The sequence below is a fragment of the Homo sapiens genome, chromosome 12 (assembly GCF_000001405.40).
Source record: "Homo sapiens chromosome 12, GRCh38.p14 Primary Assembly".
Classification (NCBI taxonomy): domain Eukaryota; kingdom Metazoa; phylum Chordata; class Mammalia; order Primates; family Hominidae; genus Homo; species Homo sapiens.
The window spans coordinates 100,457,012-100,476,101 of NC_000012.12; the positions used below are offsets into that span (position 1 = coordinate 100,457,012).

Consider the following 19,090-nt stretch of genomic DNA (forward strand, 5'->3'; position numbering starts at 1 on the left):
ATCACGAGGTCAGGAGATCGAGACCATCTTGGCTAACACGGTGAAACCCCGTCTCTACTAAAAATACAAAAAATTAGCCGGGCGTGGTGGCGGGCGCCTGTAGTCCCAGCTACTCTGGAGGCTGAGGCAGGAGAATGGCGGGAACCCGGGAGGCGGAGCTTGCAGGGAGTCGAGATCGGGCCACTGCACTCCAGCCTGGGCGACAGAGTGAGACTCCATCTCAAAAAAAAAAAAAGATTTGCCTCAATTATGTTCAGTTGCTTTTTACTTGTATGCATTTTTTTCATTTTTTAAAATGTGAAGTAGGTTTACAGTTTGCTAGATAATATGCTTCATGAAGATAGAAAATGCATCAGCCTTGTGTTGTATGACCAGCGGCTGGCCTAGCAACATGACTCAATAAATATGTATTGAATGAGTGAATTAATGGATGAATTAGGGCAAAGTAGGCAGTGCTTGTGCCATAACTGCACTCATCCTCATTACGCTATGCATGAAGGTTTCTGGTGTGGAAAATGTAGTCCTTCTCATATTACATTGTACCAGAAGATAACTTCTGTTTTTGAAGGGGCTAAGGGGCCTAAACACCCCCCACCCCTCACTGGCCTGATTGATATTCACATATTCCTTTTCCTGCTATTGCTAAAGATCAGTTTGGTTTTTGTAATCCTCTTCTTCATCTTACTTCTTTTTACACCTCAGTGGGGAAACAATGAAGTCCAGGTCTGATAATAACTTTAGACTTCATATGTGGTTGCTATAGACACATTTGCTCATTTTACCATGTAGATAATATCTTTGCTTTCAATATTATGCGTTCAGCAATCAAGTCCAGGGAATTCACATTTGCTAATAGATGATTTAATGTTATGCTATAATGGCAATACTTTAACAAATTAGCCATTAATGAAAAATCTCACAGTTAGTTGTATTTGATCTTTGGCCATGGACTTACAGAGAAGATATTACCAAAGTGATTCATAGAGACTGGTGTTTGGAACTGAATTTTAAAAATCAATTAAGAAAAAATATTAATAAACCAGGAATGTAGTACTCACAGATATATAATAATAACATCAGAAGGGATTTTACTGAGGAAGAAACATACAAGAGTTTTCTTCAGAAGAAGAAAATTAAAGTAGGCATCAACAAAATTAAACCCAGTAATTAAAACCCAATGAGTAATGATCTAGCTTTCTTTATAAAATAATGCTGGGCCTTGTTCTGATGATAATTTGATTCTCTTTGATAAATACAGTAGCAGGGAGGGATAACCTTTGAAAACGAACTTTGATAAAATAACAAAGCATTCACTCTTCTCAGCTTCATGCACAATATCTGATCCTCAAGCCTGATACAGACACACTCACTTCCTTCACCTCGAGACCGGAAGGAGAAGGCTGGGATGACAATGTCTTATGTCTGGAATAATTCATCATCCCACAGTGAGATGTGTCTCCCCACAGTATTACCTTGTCTTATATCTTCCCAATATGATGGATGATGATGAATCGTTGTAGTAGGAGGATGAGTTTATTTCTGAAACATAAAATCCCAGAAATTGGTGTAGATCTTTTGCCTATTGTCCCAGTCTTGCTGGTAAGACACCAACCTGGGAGCATATACTCAAGGGGTAGAGTCTGATTGGCTGGGCTGGACCAGGGGAGAAGCTTCTCTGATGTGGCAGAAGCAGTGCCCTCAAAGGCCACAGTCTGCATGGTCCAGGAAGGAAGATTTCAGCCAGAGCTGCAGAAGTACCACCAAGGACCAAGAGTGGGCAGGTTTAAAACTCAGACCAGAAATTCAAGTCTGGGTAAAAAATAAATCCGTTTTCTGTTCTGTTAAGCTGGCTAGAAAATAAATCTTGATCATCATTTAAGATTCTGCTCCAGAGTTGTGTCAAGATCTTACCTTGCCCACCACAGGATACCATCCATAATGTTCTCTATTAGACTATCCATTGTCCCAGTCTGCATGGGACCCTGCAGTTCAGTGGTTTCTGCACCACACTTGGGGTGCCCAAATACTTAGCAGGACTTGGAATCCCTGGGAGTAGCGCCCAATCTTTCTAGAAGCCCCATGTAGCTATTCCTTGGAGGTCCTCCCCTCTACCCAAGGTAAAGTGGAGTACGCATTCTCACTAACCTACTTCCACTTCCCAGTCTTAGGAATATCTTTCCTCTCAAACACTAAGTGGTAGATAAGCTCAAAGGCAGAATAAACAGGGCACTTGCCTGGCAGGGGTGCACACACGTATATAAATACACACAGAAGCTTTTAAAAGAAACTTTTAAGAATAAATAAAATAAAATCATAATATTCATCAAAAGGAAAACTTTGAATGTAATTGCACTTCTTTTACTGATATGGATAAATATTGTTTCTTGAAATCAACCTAGTGGGTCAGAATAAGTGTTTTTAAAAAATGAAAGAGTAAAATAGAAAATATCAAAATAGGTGACACATAGAAAGCCTAAGTATTTTCTTGTAAGCTTTCATTTCAGTTACATGTATACAAATGTGTGTGTCACCGTGCTGTGATATGAAAGTTATTACTGTAAGTCATAGTCCAAATTTTTGAAAAACTCTGCTCTGTATGATACGCATCCAGAGAGTGAGGTTGTTAGAAATGTGATTTTTGGGAAAATGACTGACACCAGAACTTACAACCAAAGCAGATGAAATGAATGGTTTAATGTTTATTCCAATCTTAGCTATTCAGGAGGCTGAAGTGGGAGGCTCCCTTGAAGCCACGTGTTCTAGGCTATAGTTAGCCATGATCGTGGCACTGCACTCCAGCCTGGGTGACAGAGCAAAACCCTGTCTCTAAAAAATAAAATAAATAACATAAATATTTATTCCAGAAAAGTCAAGATCTAATTATATATATATAACATTATTGATGATGCACTTGGGATATTTTCTTGAATCAAAGAGACCTTCAGACCATCCCAGGTAACTGTCTCAATCACCTAAAAGCATGGCTAATAGCCACTGTCTCTGTTGCCCTAAAGGGCACTACCTGCTATTTAATGACAATTTACTGTATATAAGACCCTGTTCTAAAGGCTTTATATACAGGATCTCTTGGTCCTTATGACAAGTTTATGAGGCTGGTATTAATTCCCGGAGTTTAAGATGAAGACACTAGGAGGCAGGCAAGGTGACTGACTTGTCCAGCAGAAGAAGAATTCAAACCCTATTGACATCCACATCCCCAAGTCTAATCTGGAGGGAGGGATAGCGATACCACATCTTCCCTGAGAATCTGTCCCCTCGATGCTTAGCAACTTAGCTTTTTTCTGACAGAAAGATTTTCTCTGGGTCTAATTTAAATTGCTCATGCTGCAGTCGAAGCCCTTTGCCTCTTTGTCTCCTTTGTGGCGGCCAAGAACAGCTGGTCACTGTCCCACTAACAATGATGCGTCGTCAAGTAGGGGACAATAATTTTCCTCCTTCAGAACCAACAATCCCAGCTTCTTGAACTGTTTTTCTTTGGCCCTGTTTTCTCCCAACCCTTCAATTATTTCTTTTTTTGCCCAGTTTCTTGGGGATAGCTCCACAGCTTCGCTCCTTGTCAGCAATGGATGTGGGGGCAGGATGAGGTTTGGGCACTTCTAGTTTCTATTCCTCTGAATTCCCCTGGCTTCTAATCTCATTCAGCCACTGGGGGCCCTGACAGCCCCTCTTAGAGCCCCTGTGCACACAGATCTTGGCTTCCACGCATCCACTTGGAATTGTACAGGGCACGGGTGCCTCCAGGGCCCTTCACCTCATGTGTGGATGGCTATTGTTAAAGTTTGTCACAGTCTCCCTAACTCAGCCTCTCCCCTTAGGATGCCCATCCCCCACCCTCCAAATATCCTTGAAATCCCCTACTCAAGTGCTCAGCAATTCCTGGTTACCAGGAGCTTGGAATCTCGCCCACCCTTGGCTAGCTACATGCCTTTTCTATTTCCCTCTAAGCTCTTTTTATTTTCTGCTTCAGAGTTTTTATGTATGTGTCACATTGTTCTTTTTTATGATCAATTTGTAGTTTAACTTTTTAGACAGGCAAAACTTTCACATGGTATAAAATTCAAAAGGTACAAAAGGCACACACAGCAAGCATTTTTCCTAATACCTTGTCCCCTAGAGGCACGTGACTAGTGTTACCAGTTTTTTTGTATATCATTCCAGGCATATCCCACTTATCTATTTTGTGATTTTACATATACATACACATATTTATATGTGATACATATCCAATTTTTGATAGATATACACATACATATGTACCCATATACATATATGTATTATCCATACACTGGATATCTACTGCACACAGTTTTCTGTGCTTTATTTTCAATTAGAAGTATAGCTTGGTGACTATTCCATTCCATCATATTTATAGAGCTTCTCCATCTTCTTTATGGCTGTATAATACTCTGTTCCATGGATAAACCCTAATTTATTTCATCAGTCCCTCCTGAAGGACTTTGATTTTAGGAACATAGACTTTGGAATCAGACTACCTTGATAGAATTCTGGCTTGATCACATATTAGCTATATGATCTTGGACAACTTATTTAACTTCTCTGTGCCTCAGTTTTCTCACTTGTAAACTGGCAATTACAATAGTACCTCCTCTTAGGGTTGTTGTGAGGATTAAATATGTTAATCAATGTCAAGTACTTAGAACAGTGAATGGCACATAGTAAGCTCCAGTAAACATTAGCTATTGATTATTTCTCAAGTTTTGCTATTGCATTCTGTGCTGCAGTAAATAACCTTGAACATAGGAGTGATACCCAAATATTTAACAGCTATTACAGAATGGGCACTGATGAATCAGAATAATGCTGGCCACAGTGCTGAAGCAGGGTTCCAGAGGTCCCATGTGGTCACAGGCATTTACCTCTTGATTTGCTGGGTTGCAGCAAAGGCTAGGGGTTCTTGGGGAGGGATCGTATGGCAGGACAGCAGCATTTACTCATCAATAAATAAGCATTTTTTTTTTTTTGAGACAGAGTCTCGCTCTGTCACCCAGGCTGGAGTGCAGTGGTGTGATTTTGGTTCACTGCAACCTCTGCCTCCCAGGTTCAAGTGATTCTTCTGCCTCAGCCTCCTGAATAGCTGGGATTACAGGCATGCATTTTTTTTTTTTGTATTTTTTGTATTTTTATATTTTTAGTAGAGACAGGGTTTCACCATGTTTTCCAGGCTGGTCTTGAACTCCTAACCTCAGGTGATCCACCTGCCTTGGCCTCCCAAAGTGCTGGAATTACAGGCATGGCCAAGCATTTCAATATTTCTAACAACCAGCTCTGGAGCATACCAGAACATGTGCAGTTAGTTAGCTATGTGTTCACATATCACTTCATACTTATGTGCATATTATCTTTTAGGATAAATTCTGGGAAGTGGAATTGCTAAGTCGAAGGTTATAAACACTTGCAATTTGTCCTCCTTGGAGATCGTACCAATTTGCCTAATTTCCAGCAATATATGTGGGTAGAGCTTCTTTTTATCTTTGCCCATCTAATAGGTGAAAAATGATACCTCAGTGTGGTTTGCATTTCTCTTATTGTGATTGAGACTTAACAGCCATTTAGGCTGGGCACAGTGGCTCACGCTTGTAGTCCCAGCACTTTGGGAGGCCAAGGCAGATGGATTGCCTGAGGCCAGGAGTTCCAGATCAGCCTGGCCAACATGGCAAAACCCCGTCTCTACCGAAAATACAAAAAAAGTTGTCAGGCGTGGTGGTGTGTGCCTGTAGTCCCAAGTACTCGAGAGGCTGAGGTATGAGAATCGCTTGAACCCGGGAAGCGGAGGTTGCAGTGAGCTGAGATCACACCACTGCACTCCAGCCTGGGCGAAAGAGCAAGACTGTCAAAAAAAAAAAAAAAAAGATTTAACAGCCATTTACACATTTTCTTTTTTGTCTTTTATTATGGTTCATATTATGATTGAGTTTTAATGTCCTTTTATGTGTTTAACAGTCCTTTACATTTCCTTTTCTGTGTACTGCCTTCTTATATGCTTCACCCATTTCACTTTTGTGTTGTTGGCCTTTTTTATATTGATTTGTAGGAGTTCTTTATATATCATATGCCATTTGTTCTTTTACTTAACTATACAAATTTATCGAGCACCTACAGCAGGCTTAGTGCTGTTTGCTGTTCCAGGACTAAGGATACAGAGATTAAAAAAAAAAACAAAAAAAACAAACAATAACACAGTATTTACCTTCAAAGAACTTGCAAACTAGTGAAGAAGACAGGTAAAAAAATTAACATTCACAATAAAGAATAAAAAATAATTTGAGAGGGTGAGCATGGGGTGCTTTGAGAGCACAGAGGAGAGAGAAAACTCACATGAACCATGTCTGATTAGGGAATTCTGCAAAGGGTGTTCAAAGCCTTTGAGTGGAAGATGCTTGATAAACCCTTGTTCTGTGTGTAAAGACTGATTGGCTCCTGTGGTTAAGTACTTGGTTGGCTCCTCTGTTTCAGACTCATTTCTAAGGAGGCCAGTATTCTGATTGTCATCATATCTGACTTTGCTCCATATTTACGACCTATTCCCAGCCCCTGAAGCACACAAAGAATAGTGTAAACATGTTATTACCATCACTGGGAAAGCTCTAACTTCACACGTTTTTGATGATAAGTAGCTTTATCTCTGTTGAAGAAAGATAGTTTACTATTGAGCTATCAGCTAGATTTCACAAATAGATGGGGGCTTTTCCAAATATAAAACAGGCCATATCCCCAAATGTGGTATTTTGATCTACCTATTAATCATTTAGCAACCTTTGGGTTTTCAATGCTGGTTGGACATAATATAGCACTCAGGCCCAACAGTGACCTTCATCTTTCTATTGTATCTTTTATTGAGGACCTGCTGTGAATGTTTCACATCCAATTAACCCATATAGCAGCACATGGTATTAAGTGGGCCATCCTATTTTAAGACTTTTTTTTATAAGAGTTGAATGCAGTTTGGACGATCTATTCCAGCTGGGACTGAAGCAATTGAACACAAGCCTTGGGCAGAACAAAATTTCTTAACAGCTACAGATTGCCTTGTGTGTGGTCTAGGGCACAGCTGATTCCTTGCAATAGTGTATGTCATAAACCCTCAAAGCAGCTCCTACCTTATCCACCAAGGTTGAGAGTTCTTGCTTCAGCTCTCAGCATTGCCAAAGAAATGAATTCCACTTTTCTGTCAGGAAGATGGCATGTTGTCTGAATTAATGGATAAGAATGGCTACATAATTTGTGGGGGCTCAATGCAAAGCAAAAATATAGGACCTCTTGTTTAAAATTATTAACAATTTCAAATGATGACTGCAGAATATTAAACAAAACCAGGGAGAGGCAGAGCCAGATCTACAATCATAGATGTAATATGACTAAAATACATGGAGAAGGGAGGTGCAGATTATTTTCCATGCCCTGAAATTTATAATTTCCTCTATTATAAACCATAACTTATGGTATATATTTTTTAGTAGCTAATTTTGTGTGCCTTCCTTCCCCTTCAAATTAGGCCCAGAATTCAAGTCTTTTGGGCCCCAATTCAATGAACTTTTGACTCACCAGTACTTTTCAAACTTTCTAAACTGTGACCTTACGACAGTGTTACCTTGAAATCTAGGTCTCATCAACACACACATATACAAGTAAATAAAAGCTCCATTAATGGGTGTTTTTACTTGCAATGCAAATATTTGCTCTGCTATTCTTTTACATACCATTTCATTGAAAACAAACAAGTGCCAGTCATGACCCCCTACACTGATTTTATGAACCACTAATGGGTCATATCACACAGTTCAAAAAATACTGCTTGAATGTCTATGTTGCTTATCTGCTGGGAGTGGTGGGTGAAGCCTGAGGACATTTCACAGAAAGCCTCTTCTAGAATAAGAACCACCAAGGCCCAGATGTGCTGGTAATAGGGCAAGAAATAGACATATTTGAACTCTAATAGGGGAATCTAAATTGGAACAATCTTTCTAAAAGTAATTTGTTAAGTTTACTGTAAGTTTACCGTAGAGTCTTAAAAATGTGTTCACTCTGACTCAGCGATTCCACCTTTAAAAATCAGGCCAAGGAAATAATCATTGATGTAGACAAAGACTTAGCTACAAAGGATGATCAATGCAATATCATTTATATAATGGAGGAAAACTGGAAACAACTTAAATGTCAAGAGTTGAGAATTAGTTAAAGGAGGGCCTATATCTATGAATTGAATGTACTGCCATTAAGTCATATATGTAATGAAAGTTTTAGTGATAAAAATATTTATGATATATTAATTGAGGAAAGCGGATACAGAACAGTACATACTGTCAGTATGAAAAAGATGAGGATTTATATAAATTTATATGCATTTAAGGCTGGCCATGGTGGCTCACATCTGTAATCCCAGCACTTTGGGAGGCCAAGGTGGGTGGATCACTTGAAGTCAGGAGTTCGAGACCAGCCTGGCCAACATGGTGAAACCCCATCTCTACTAAAAATTCAAAAATTAGCTAGGTGTGGTGGTGCATGCCTATATTCTCAGCTACTAGGGAGGTTGAGGTGGGAGAATTAGTTGAACCCATGAGGTGGAGGTTGCAGTGAGCTGAGATTGCACCACTGCACTCTAGCCTAGGTAGCAGAGTAACACTATTTCTCAAAAAAAAAAAAATTGTGTTTAAACATTTAGAAGAAAACATATCAACTATTAACAGTGTATTCTGTGAATCTATGGTGTATTAGTCTACTAGGACGGCCATAACAAAATACCACAGACAGGGTGGCTTAAACAGTAGACATTTATTTCTTACAGTTCTGGAGTCTGGAAGTCCAAGCTCAAGGTGTTGTTAGGTTTGTTTTCTCCTGGGGCTTCTCTCCTTGGCTTGAAGATGGCCAACTTCTTGCTGTGTCTTCACATGGTCTTTCCTCTGTGCATGCAAACTTCCAGTAGGTGTTCCTTTTCTTATAAAGACACCAGTCCTATTGGATTAGGGTCCAATCCTTATGACCTAATTTAATCATAATTATCTTCTCAAAGGCCCTATCTCCAACTGTGATCACATTTGAGATTAGGGCTTCAACCTGTGAATTTTGGGGAGATACAATTCAGTCCATAACATATGGGTTGTAAGATTATGGGGGAATTTTATTTTCTTCTTTTTGATTTTCTATACTTTCTAATCTTTCTACAATGACCATTGTATAATTTAAATTTAAATGACTTATTTAATTTAAAAAAATAACCAATATAGGGCTCCTCTAAAAAGAAGAGTGGGGCAGGGAAGATAATGAAAGCAACATGCATTTGATGTAGGATAAGTGAAGAAACTCATTTGAGACTGTCTAACTACAATATAGTAACATTTTATCTCTTGGGTTACATAGCCAATAAAGCAGTTTGTGAATATTTTCTTTTTAAAGGGTTCTAATCATTAGCACTGGCTGTCCAAGTTCTGATGAAGCTTCAGCTCCATTTTTCATCTGTCCGTAGAAGAGTTTCTCCACGACATGGACCCAGGGACTTCAGTGAGTCACTTAAAATAGGTTGATTTCAGTCACTTAAAATAGCGTGATGGCTCACGCCTGTAATCCCAGTGCTTTGGGAGCCTGAGGCAGGAAGATCTGTTGAGGCCAGGAGTTTGAGACCAGCCTGGGTAACAAAAAACTTAAAAATTACCAACAAGGGCCGTGTGCGGTGGCTCACACCTGTAATCCCAGCAGTTCAGGAGGCCGAGGCGGGCAGATCATGAGGTCAGGAGTTCGAGACCAGCCTGACTAACATGGTGAAACCCCGTCTCTACTAAAAATACAAAAATTTGGCGTGGTGGTGCATGCCTGTAATCCCAGCTACTCAGGAGGCTGAGGCAAGAGAATCGCTTGACCCTGGGTGACAGAGGGAGGTTGCAGTGAGCCGAGATCATGCCATTGCACTCCAGCCTGGGCGACAGAGTGAGATTCCATCTAAAAAAAAAAAAAAATTGTCAACAAAAAATAAAAAAAATAGCCAGTCATGGTGGCACAGACCTGTAGTCGCAGCTGCTACTTGGGAGGCTGAGGCAGGAGGATTGCTTGAGCCCAGGAGTTCGAGATCACAGTGAGCTATGGTCATGCCACTGCACTCCAGCCTAGGTGACAGAGCAAGACTGTCTCAAAAACAAACAAAGAAAAAAACTCAGCTGACTGCAGGGGTGGATGGGGCTCCCATATGGCTACTAGCTTCTGGAAGATTTCATATCTAGTGGGGTATGCCATTTTCTTCTCTTCAATGTTTTTTACCACACATTCTCATGTGATATTTCAGGTGGATCCTTACAATAACCCTATGACATAGGAATTCATTCCCTTCTATTATATATATTTTTTGTACGAAGAAACTAAGGTCCCAGAGATTGACTTGCCCAAGGTCACATGATCAGACCCAGAGTTCAGACCCAGGCCCCTGACCCTAACGTCCATGCTTTCAACACCACCCCTACCATGTTACCTTTAGGTCTTGGAAATTTTGTCTGGTTCTGAGAACTCAGTTTCTGGAGGGTTGTGGCGTCTAATAAGAAAAAAGAAGTTATTAAAGGCTCAGCCACCAAGCACTTTCCAACAGATTGATTCCATGTTGGGACAAAGACTCACACTCACAGCCAAGCCTGAGCCAGTGGGGACAGAGGCCAGTTGGATTATCCATGCTCTTTCTCTTTCTCTCTCCTTGTTCATTTCAGTGTCCCCTTCGTGGCCACCGTTTGTGAAGTTGAATGCCCTGACACTGTACTCTGACTGTAGTGCTCACTCAGGCCTCAGAGTCTGGCATAGACCCCTCCCTTGATATACCAGTATTCAAAGTTTGGCTGTTTTGTTTCCTGTTTGTTTCAGGATCTTACAGTTCCTGACCTGTTGTGAACTAATTCACTGAACAGGAGAGGTGAGGAGTGCAGATGTTTAACTGAAAAGAGAGAATCCTGGAAAGGGCAAGGAAGTCAAAATATTAATAAAAATAATAATTTCTATGGATGCAAATCTTTTTTGGCAGGATGGCCTTTCTGTTATATTTGTAATAATATACCAGAGTTGATCACTAACAATATGATAATGACTTCTATCCCTATTTTATTCAGCAATTAATTAAAATGTCCCAGTACTGATAAGCATTTCACAGAATAAATATTTTGATCTCACTTTCCCTGGGTTGATAGTGGAGTACAGGATAGGGTAAAGACTATCAGCTTTGGAGAAAACAAACCTGTATTTAAAGCCCCTGATTTGTCTCTTTTGCATAAGTCTTTGTCTCTTTGCCTGAATCTCTCAGGCTTAGTCTCCTCATTTGTTAAAGGAAGATAATACTGTCTAGCTCCTAACTTGTAAGGACTAAGTGAAAGAAGCTTTCTTTCTCCCAGTGCTGCCCTGGAGCCAGCTTACCCTGGTTCATGAGAGTCAACTGTTAAACTTTCAGGGCATTCTGAGCTGGTTGTTGTTAAACATAGCCCTTATCAAAAATTAAATTATATAAACTTATAATTAAAGACATTAAAACAAACAAAAGTAATAAATACTCAAAACTTACCATGCCCTAATTATTTTGCTATTTTACGATCGTCTATGCTCTTGTGGTTATTTATGCCTAGTGCATCTGTGTGGTGGCGTATAATGGTGTGCCAGTTTGCATTCTCCGCAAGTCCATTGTTAGGTGACTTTACATTGGTAGTTTGAAAGTGGCCACAACTAGAATATTTACAACACAAAAAAATTTACAAATCAAGACCTCATTTATTGTATTATCTATTGTCTAAGGCAGGCCTGTTCAACTTTGGCACTATTGACATTTGGGGCTGCATAATTCTTGGTTGTGGAGGGAGAAGCTGTGCATTGTAGGATATTTAGCAGCATTCTGGCCTCTCCTTACTAAATGACACTCCCTTTAAGTTGTGACAACCACAACTGTGTCCAGATATTGCCAAATATGCCTTGGGGAGCAGAATTGCTCCTTCTCTCCATTGAGAGCTACTGGTCTAAGGAGTTGGCAAATTAAGGTCAGTGGGCAAAATTTGGCCCGTGGATGTTTATATACAGCCCTCAAGCTAAGAAGTTCTGCATTTTTAGAGGATTGTAAAACATAACAGAGACTAGATGTGGTCTGCAAAGCCTAAGATATTTACTTTTTCGCCCCTTAAAGAAAATGTTTGTTGACCCTTAGTCTTAGTGATAAAGAAACTGTTAACAAAGCAGATTAAACTTAAAAGAGCTTCATGTTAGTAGCTGTTACATTGTGAAGAACACACACAATACTGAAGAAATGTTCTTCGGTATATGAAAGAACAGTTTCCAGTATATGAAAACTATTATTTGATTCAGCAAAGAAGCTACTCACGTCACCAACGAACAAGTGAATTTCCAACATACGTAAAGGTGGAACTCAAAGAGGGTTCAGTTTAACAAAAATAATTTGTGTGAAAATCATAGTTTAACAGTAGATCACATATAACATTTCAGTACGATATTTATATTGGAGAAAGGATTAGTGGTCTGGAATGCGATTCCATTTGTCAAACCATGGTTGAACGGCAACCATAAGTTGGCTATCAATACAAGAGTTCAGCAAAACTCAATGAAAACATCCCAGTTGACTCACTGGCTACATGGAATTTACAATATACAGAAACTGTATATTTATTATTATTTGTAAAACATGTGTTACTTACCTGTTCTATCAGTAAAATTTAAAATAAATGTTTATATGTATATATTCACCCACCTCTCTGAGAACTGGTTGTTAATCACCTACCAGCACACCACTGCTCCCACCTCCTGTTCTATCCCGATTTCTTTGTTCCTCCCCCACATTCTTCCTTGAAAGACATTGTCCTTCTCTTTATTTAATGGGATTCTCCAACCTCTCTCCTGTCTCAGAGCCTTTGCTGCTGTCTTTTCCTTACCCTGAAATGCTCCTTTTTTTCCTTCTCAACACCTTTCACTCCCAACACATCAGAGATCCTTCCATCTTAGCTAAAACATCACTTTCTTAGAGGAAGCCTTTCTAAACCCCTCTGACATGGTGAGGGCTCCCTGATAAATACAGTCGCAGAACCCTGTGCTTCTCCTTCATAACATGCTGTCACAAGAGAACTTATAAGATTGTCTGTGTAGTTTTTATTAATTGTCTGTCTCTCACACTAGGCTGTAAATTGCATGACTGCAGGAACCATATCATTTTGTTCACTGCTGATTTGCCAGTGCTTAACAGACTGTTTGGAAAATATTAGCTGCTCAGTAAATGCTTGTTCCTTTTCCCCTTCTTTCTTTCTGTGCTAGTTAGAATTAATCCCATGAATAGAGAGCACATTTTCTGTTTGTTATGATTAATGGAGAGTATTTTATGACACCCTGAACTTTTCCATCTTATCACATAACACAAGTGAATGTTATTCATTCTTTATATGATTTACTTTATTGTTATGGTTATTGCTGTTATTATTTTGCTGAGTGTCCCTTGTTCATGGGATGGTGAGCTTTCAGAGCTTGGGTTTTGGGTCTCTCCTACTCAGCACTAGCACATTGCCTGGGGCATCCAGTTATCAGGGACACAGTGGTGAACAAGATAGGTGTAATCATCTATTTATGTTCCATATAGTGAGAGAGACATGAAACATGTCCATGTATGCTAAGTGGTGCTCAGTGCTTAGTGCTACAGGGTAAAATAAAGCAAGGTAAGAATGAGAAGAGAGGCCAGGTGCGGTGGCTTACGCCTGTAATTCCAGCACTTTGGGAGGCTGAGGCGGGAAGATCGCTTGAGCTTAGGAGTTTGAGACAAGCCTGGGCAACATAGCGAAACTCCATCTCTACTAAATACAAAAAATTAGCTGGGTGTGGCGGCACGTGCATGTAGTCTCAGCTACTCGGGAGGCCGAGGCAGGAGAACCGCTTGAACCCGAAATGCTGAGGTTGCAGTGAGCCAAGATCATGCCACTGCTCTCCAGCCTAGGTGATAGAGCCAGACTGTGTCTCCAAAAACAAACAAACAAAAAAAGGAATGAGAAATGAGAAGTGATATCCTGTACTGGGAAGAGAAATGGCATTGTATTTGGTGTGTCCAGGAAAGGCCTCTCTGGTAAGGTGAGTAGAAACCTGTAGCATGCAATGGAAGGTCTCTGGGCAAAAATCAATCCAGGCTATGGAACAGAAAGTACAGGGGCCCTGGGGAGAGAATGTGCTTTATGAGTTCAGAGAACAACAAGGAGGCCTCATGACCGGCGTGAGTGATAGATGAAGTTAGAGCTATGTTGGGATGGGGTAGGATTCAGGGTCATTTAGATCCTTGGGGTCACTGTAAGAAGTTTGGCCATTACTCTGAGAGAGATGAAAGCCTGTGGGGGTTTTGAGCAAAAGAACGACATGATCCTTTGGTTTTGGTAGGATCACTCTGGCTGCCATGCTGGGAACAAATGACAGAGTGCAAGCATGGAAATAAGGAGGCCACTTAGGAGGCCATGGCACAAACCCAGGTGCAAGAAACCTGGCATGGACCAGAGAGATGACAGTGGAGGTGGTGGGAAGGTATCAGATTCAATACATATATTGTGAAGGTAAAACTTAAACATTTTCTAATGGATTGATTGTGTGGTGTGAAGAGAAGAAAAATAATTGTTGAAATTTTTGAATGGGCTCTTATGTCATACCCAGCACTATGTGCTACACCACTGGAGATCCAAAAGGATGGGAAATACATGCCACCCTCAGGGAGTATCCAGTCCAGTGGGCAAATACGATTGTCAGTGTGAAGGCCCAGAGAAAATAATAACAGCTAACCCCTACACAGCACTTTCTGTGTGTCAGGTACCAGCGCTTTGCATAGATTAATTCATTAAATCCTTGCAATAACCTCATGAAATACATAGTAATTATATCTTTATTTTACAGATGGGGAAACTGAGACAGATGTTAAGGAAAAGCCTAAGGTCTAAGGTCACACAGCTTGTAAGTGGCAGAGCTGGGATTTGAACCCAGCCGGTCCAGCGCCACAGTCTGTGTCTTCAGTCATTGTCTCCATCTCTGCTGGAGAGAATGAAATCACAGTACAGGCTCTTATCATCCAAGAAGAAATGGGCTTGGTGTCACATAGAAGTCACACAGGAGTCCCTCAGGCAGCCCAGAGCTGCAGAGTGCAGTAAGTGTCAGTGCAAACTCTCTTCAAAAGAAAATGTACAGGCCTGGGGTGACCCTCTTCCTTGTGCCGAAGGGGCTGGAGGATGCACCATAGTACATTGGGAACCCCCAGAAGTAGGTAGGAAGTAGGAGCCTGTAGGACCTACAAAAATGCTATTTTATAAGAGAAGCAAAATATAACATTTCTAACAGGTTTGAATGTAGATCTTCTACTAGCTGACCTTGTGACGGGAAACAAATGACACACATCACAGATGGGAAATGCACACATCACATACACACACACACACACACACACACACAGGTGCATGTGCAGCCATGCTGCTTTGGGAAGTTGTTTCTCAGCTCACTCATTGATTGCGTTAACAAAGAGTTACACAATGCTTTTTCTGTGAGAGGCACTGTGCTAAGACAAAGGGTAGATACAAAGACAAGTCTGCTACCATGCCTGGTTTTTGTAAAAGAGATAAAACAAGTAGAAAACTATAATATATAAGGTCAGAGGATTTAAGGGACAGCAAGGAAACTACAAATAAAAGATCAAGGGAGTTGGGTGGGGAGAATAGGGGCAGATGAGGAATGGGGCTGGCTTCAGGGAGAACTCTGCTTCTGTTCCACGCCTGGAAGATGTGTGGGTGTGAAAAGAAAGTAACTGAGGTAGAAGGAAGAGCTTGTGCAAAAGTGTGGAGGCGGGAGAGCTTGGTACAGGTTGGCAGAGGTTGGGATGTCTGAAGGGACAGAATGTGAGAAAATCCTAGAGACATTAGGGCTAGATCTTCAGGTGTGGAAGGGGTTCTAAATGTCAAGCATTTTGTGTTCGTTTTTTAGGCATAGAGAGTGCATTGGGGATTTTCGATGAGGGGAGTGCCTAGCAAGTTGCTGGGTACATAGTAGGCTGATAATCAATCAATGATGGTTCAACTAATGAAGGAGAGAAATAATAATTGCCACAAATTATTGGGTGATTGCTATCTGCCACACACTTTTCTAAACATTTTCACTACTCATGTAATTCTCACCACAGCCCATGAGATGGTTTCTCCATATCCATTCTACAGATGAGGAAACTGAGACTCAGAGAGGCTAAGTGTCTTGCTCAAGGCTGTGACTAAAGAGTGGGCATCTAACCAGAGCCTGTGCTTCCACACTGCTGTGCAATTTGGAAAACAGAAGAAGGGGAGAGAAGAAAAAGGGGTTGTGGGACCAATGTCATCCAGAAAGGAAGCTATGATAGGCCCAAAGTAGGAGAAGAACAATGTGGGTTGGAAATAAGAGACATTCCAAAGATGCAATCAACCCAAATCTGTTATTATTTGATATGGGTGGCTGGGCAGAGGGAAGGGTCAAAAAGGCTCCCAGCTTCTAGTTCAGTCCCGGGGAAGTGATAGAGCTATTCAAAGAAGTTGTAGTGAGAGAGAGGGAAGATGACAGTTTGGTTTTAGTTGATGTGTACAGAAATACGGGTGCCCAGGAGCCCACAAAACGGCCAGAGGAGAAATGCTTTCAAAGGCAAGCTGCAGGGCTCCTTGGTTTTGTCACATTCCTCATTCTGGGGCTTTGCGGTTTTGTCTTGGGAATCTCGAGGCTCTCCCAAGGTTCCTTTCTATGTTTATATCATTTAGCAGGGAAGGATTGTTAATGACTAATCTGTGTCCATGAGGCACAGAGCCAAGGAAGAGATGCTGCTGCTAGCCCAGAAGGCCGCCTGTGATCATGCACAGTACACTGGAACTCTCTCCTCCTCCTCACCTCATTGTCTCCCCGACTTATCCTAATGCGAAATTGGATTCTGAGCATTTGTAGCAAAATCGCTGGGATCTGGAGAGGAAGACTCAGTCCAGAATCCTCCCAGGGCCTTGAAAGTCCATCTCTGACCCAAAACAATCCAAGTAAGTACCTAATTCCTTTGGGAGTGGGTTGTGTATCTCACAGCAACAGAGAAAAAATAGTCACTTAAAAGTTTCTCTTTGACATCTGTAATGTATGTCAATAAATGAATTCTAAGTTAGTAGAGTTTGATGTAAAGTCCTGAAAATTAAAAAAGAGAGAAACTAAAAAACAAAAAGAAGCAGAAGCAAAAGTTAATGAGTCTTAACAGTTGCTTACCTATTGAAAACTTATTTAGAAATACTCTTTTAACATTGTGGTCACCTGAGTAAATCACTGGAGATAGTGCATTTCAGAAATGTCTCCGTTCTGATTCCATAAACAATTTGACTTGTATAGTGTGCTATATTTTGGTGATTTATCAAATCTTGATGTGAGTTTGGGAGTATTGCTAATGTCAGATGACTTGGGAACTAAGAATAAGACATTTAACCTATGCTTAATTGAAATGAAATTTTTCCCTAGAAGAAGAGTAGGTGGAAAAAGTCTTCTTTCTTGACTTCAGTTGTAAACTCTTCTATTGCTTTCCATTTTGAATATTAATATGACAGGAAATATCAGATGGAAATATTTTTAAAAGATAGAAATGTGAGTATGACGAAGAACTTTAGTAATAAAATTGTCCAAGGACTAAATTTATAGATAAGATACCTCTTTGTCTCCTTATTGACAGAGTGAATGGGGCAACTGTGGAGCCTGACTTACTTCTTTTAATTGGGTTTTTATTCAGAAGGGAGGGGCAGGAGGGAATGACAAGTGACTCACCTTGAATTCTTCCTCTAAGAAACTCACACCTGAGCTTTGAGCTATAAAGAAATCTGATGCTGTTTCTGGTGCTGTCTTAGAATCACTTCAGGAGTATTGACAAGAGGGGTAGGAACCCTTAGAAATAATATTAGTGATAAATAAGAAGGCAGGAAGAAACTTTTGGAGGTGATGGATAGGTTTATGGTATAGATTGTGGTGATGATTTAATGAGTGTATGCCTATCCCCAGACTCATCAAAGTGTATACATGGAATATGTAAAGCTTTTATATGTCAGTCACACCTCAGTAAAGTGGTTTACCTATCTATCTATCTATCTATCTATCTATCTATCTAAATTTTTTTTTCTGTTCCTAAAAAAAGGAAGGGAGAAGAGAGGAAAAGATGTTCAGGGAGCTACCATTTTGTTTCTAGCTGTGATTTTATAAAATGATAGACACTTTTATCTTTGTGTTACGTTCCTACCCCCAGTCCTCCAAATTATGGATCTGTGCCATTTGTACCGTGGACTTTTCTGTTTTCTGAGGATGTTGCAACAAATACTGATGCAACTCCTGGTTAACTGATAAAGTACTGGCCAGGGACAAAGCTCTCTTGTCCTGAGACCCTTCCTCAAGATTTGCAGCAATTTCCCACCACGTACCTCTGCCCTCTCCTCACAGCTGGAGAGGGAAAGTCATGGAATCCTTGTCCTTCCTCTTGTTTCCACCTCTTCAAGATTGGGCCAATTGCAATGGAATATCCATTGGTTGTGAGGCCTTTGTACTCTGCAAGGAAAAGAAAAGAAATGTGTGTATGTATGAGTGTGTGATGGAGCTAACTTTTCTACAATGTCTACTAACATGTCCTAGCCTTTACTTCATTCGCCTGTTTCCTTCTCACAAAAACCCTGTATGGGAGTTTTTCTTTACTTTTTATTATTATTTTTTTGAGACAAAGTCTCGCTCTGTCTCCCAGGCTGGAGTGCAGTGGCGCTATATCGGCTCACTGCAGCCTCCACCTCCCGGGTTCAAGCGATTCTCCTGCCTCAGCCTCCTGAGTAGCTGGTACTACAGGCGTGCACCACCATGCCACTATTTTTTGTATTTTTAGTAGAGACGGGGTTTCACTATGTTGGCCAGACTGGTCTCGAACTCTTGACCTCAGGTGATCCGCCCGCCTCGGCTTCCCAGAGTGCTAGGATTACAGGCGTGAGCCACTGCGCCCAGCCAGGAGTTTTTCTTATACTCATTTTACAGATGAGAAAACTGAGACTCAAAAAATACAAGTGACCCGTCC

General features: G+C 40.7%; 1 protein-coding gene across 7 annotated transcripts in view, besides 1 other annotated feature; it reads left to right on the plus strand.

Annotated features, from left to right (window-relative positions):
- Positions 6,327-6,527: a silencer, noted in NCBI's record as "peak1912 fragment used in MPRA reporter construct". NCBI's record gives its function as "represses an SCP1 promoter by STARR-seq MPRAs in K562 erythroleukemia cells {active_cell/tissue: K562}" and the evidence as "EXISTENCE:reporter gene assay evidence [ECO:0000049][PMID:32103011]".
- NR1H4 (nuclear receptor subfamily 1 group H member 4) overlaps positions 16,855-19,090 on the plus strand; it is a 90,549-nt gene continuing 88,313 nt past the window's right edge. For all 7 annotated transcript variants that reach the window (NR_135146.2, NM_001206977.2, XM_047429943.1 and 4 more), the window contains exon 1: positions 16,855-17,048. The gene's annotated coding sequence lies outside the window, so the exon portion shown is untranslated. The remainder of the gene's footprint in view (positions 17,049-19,090) is intronic.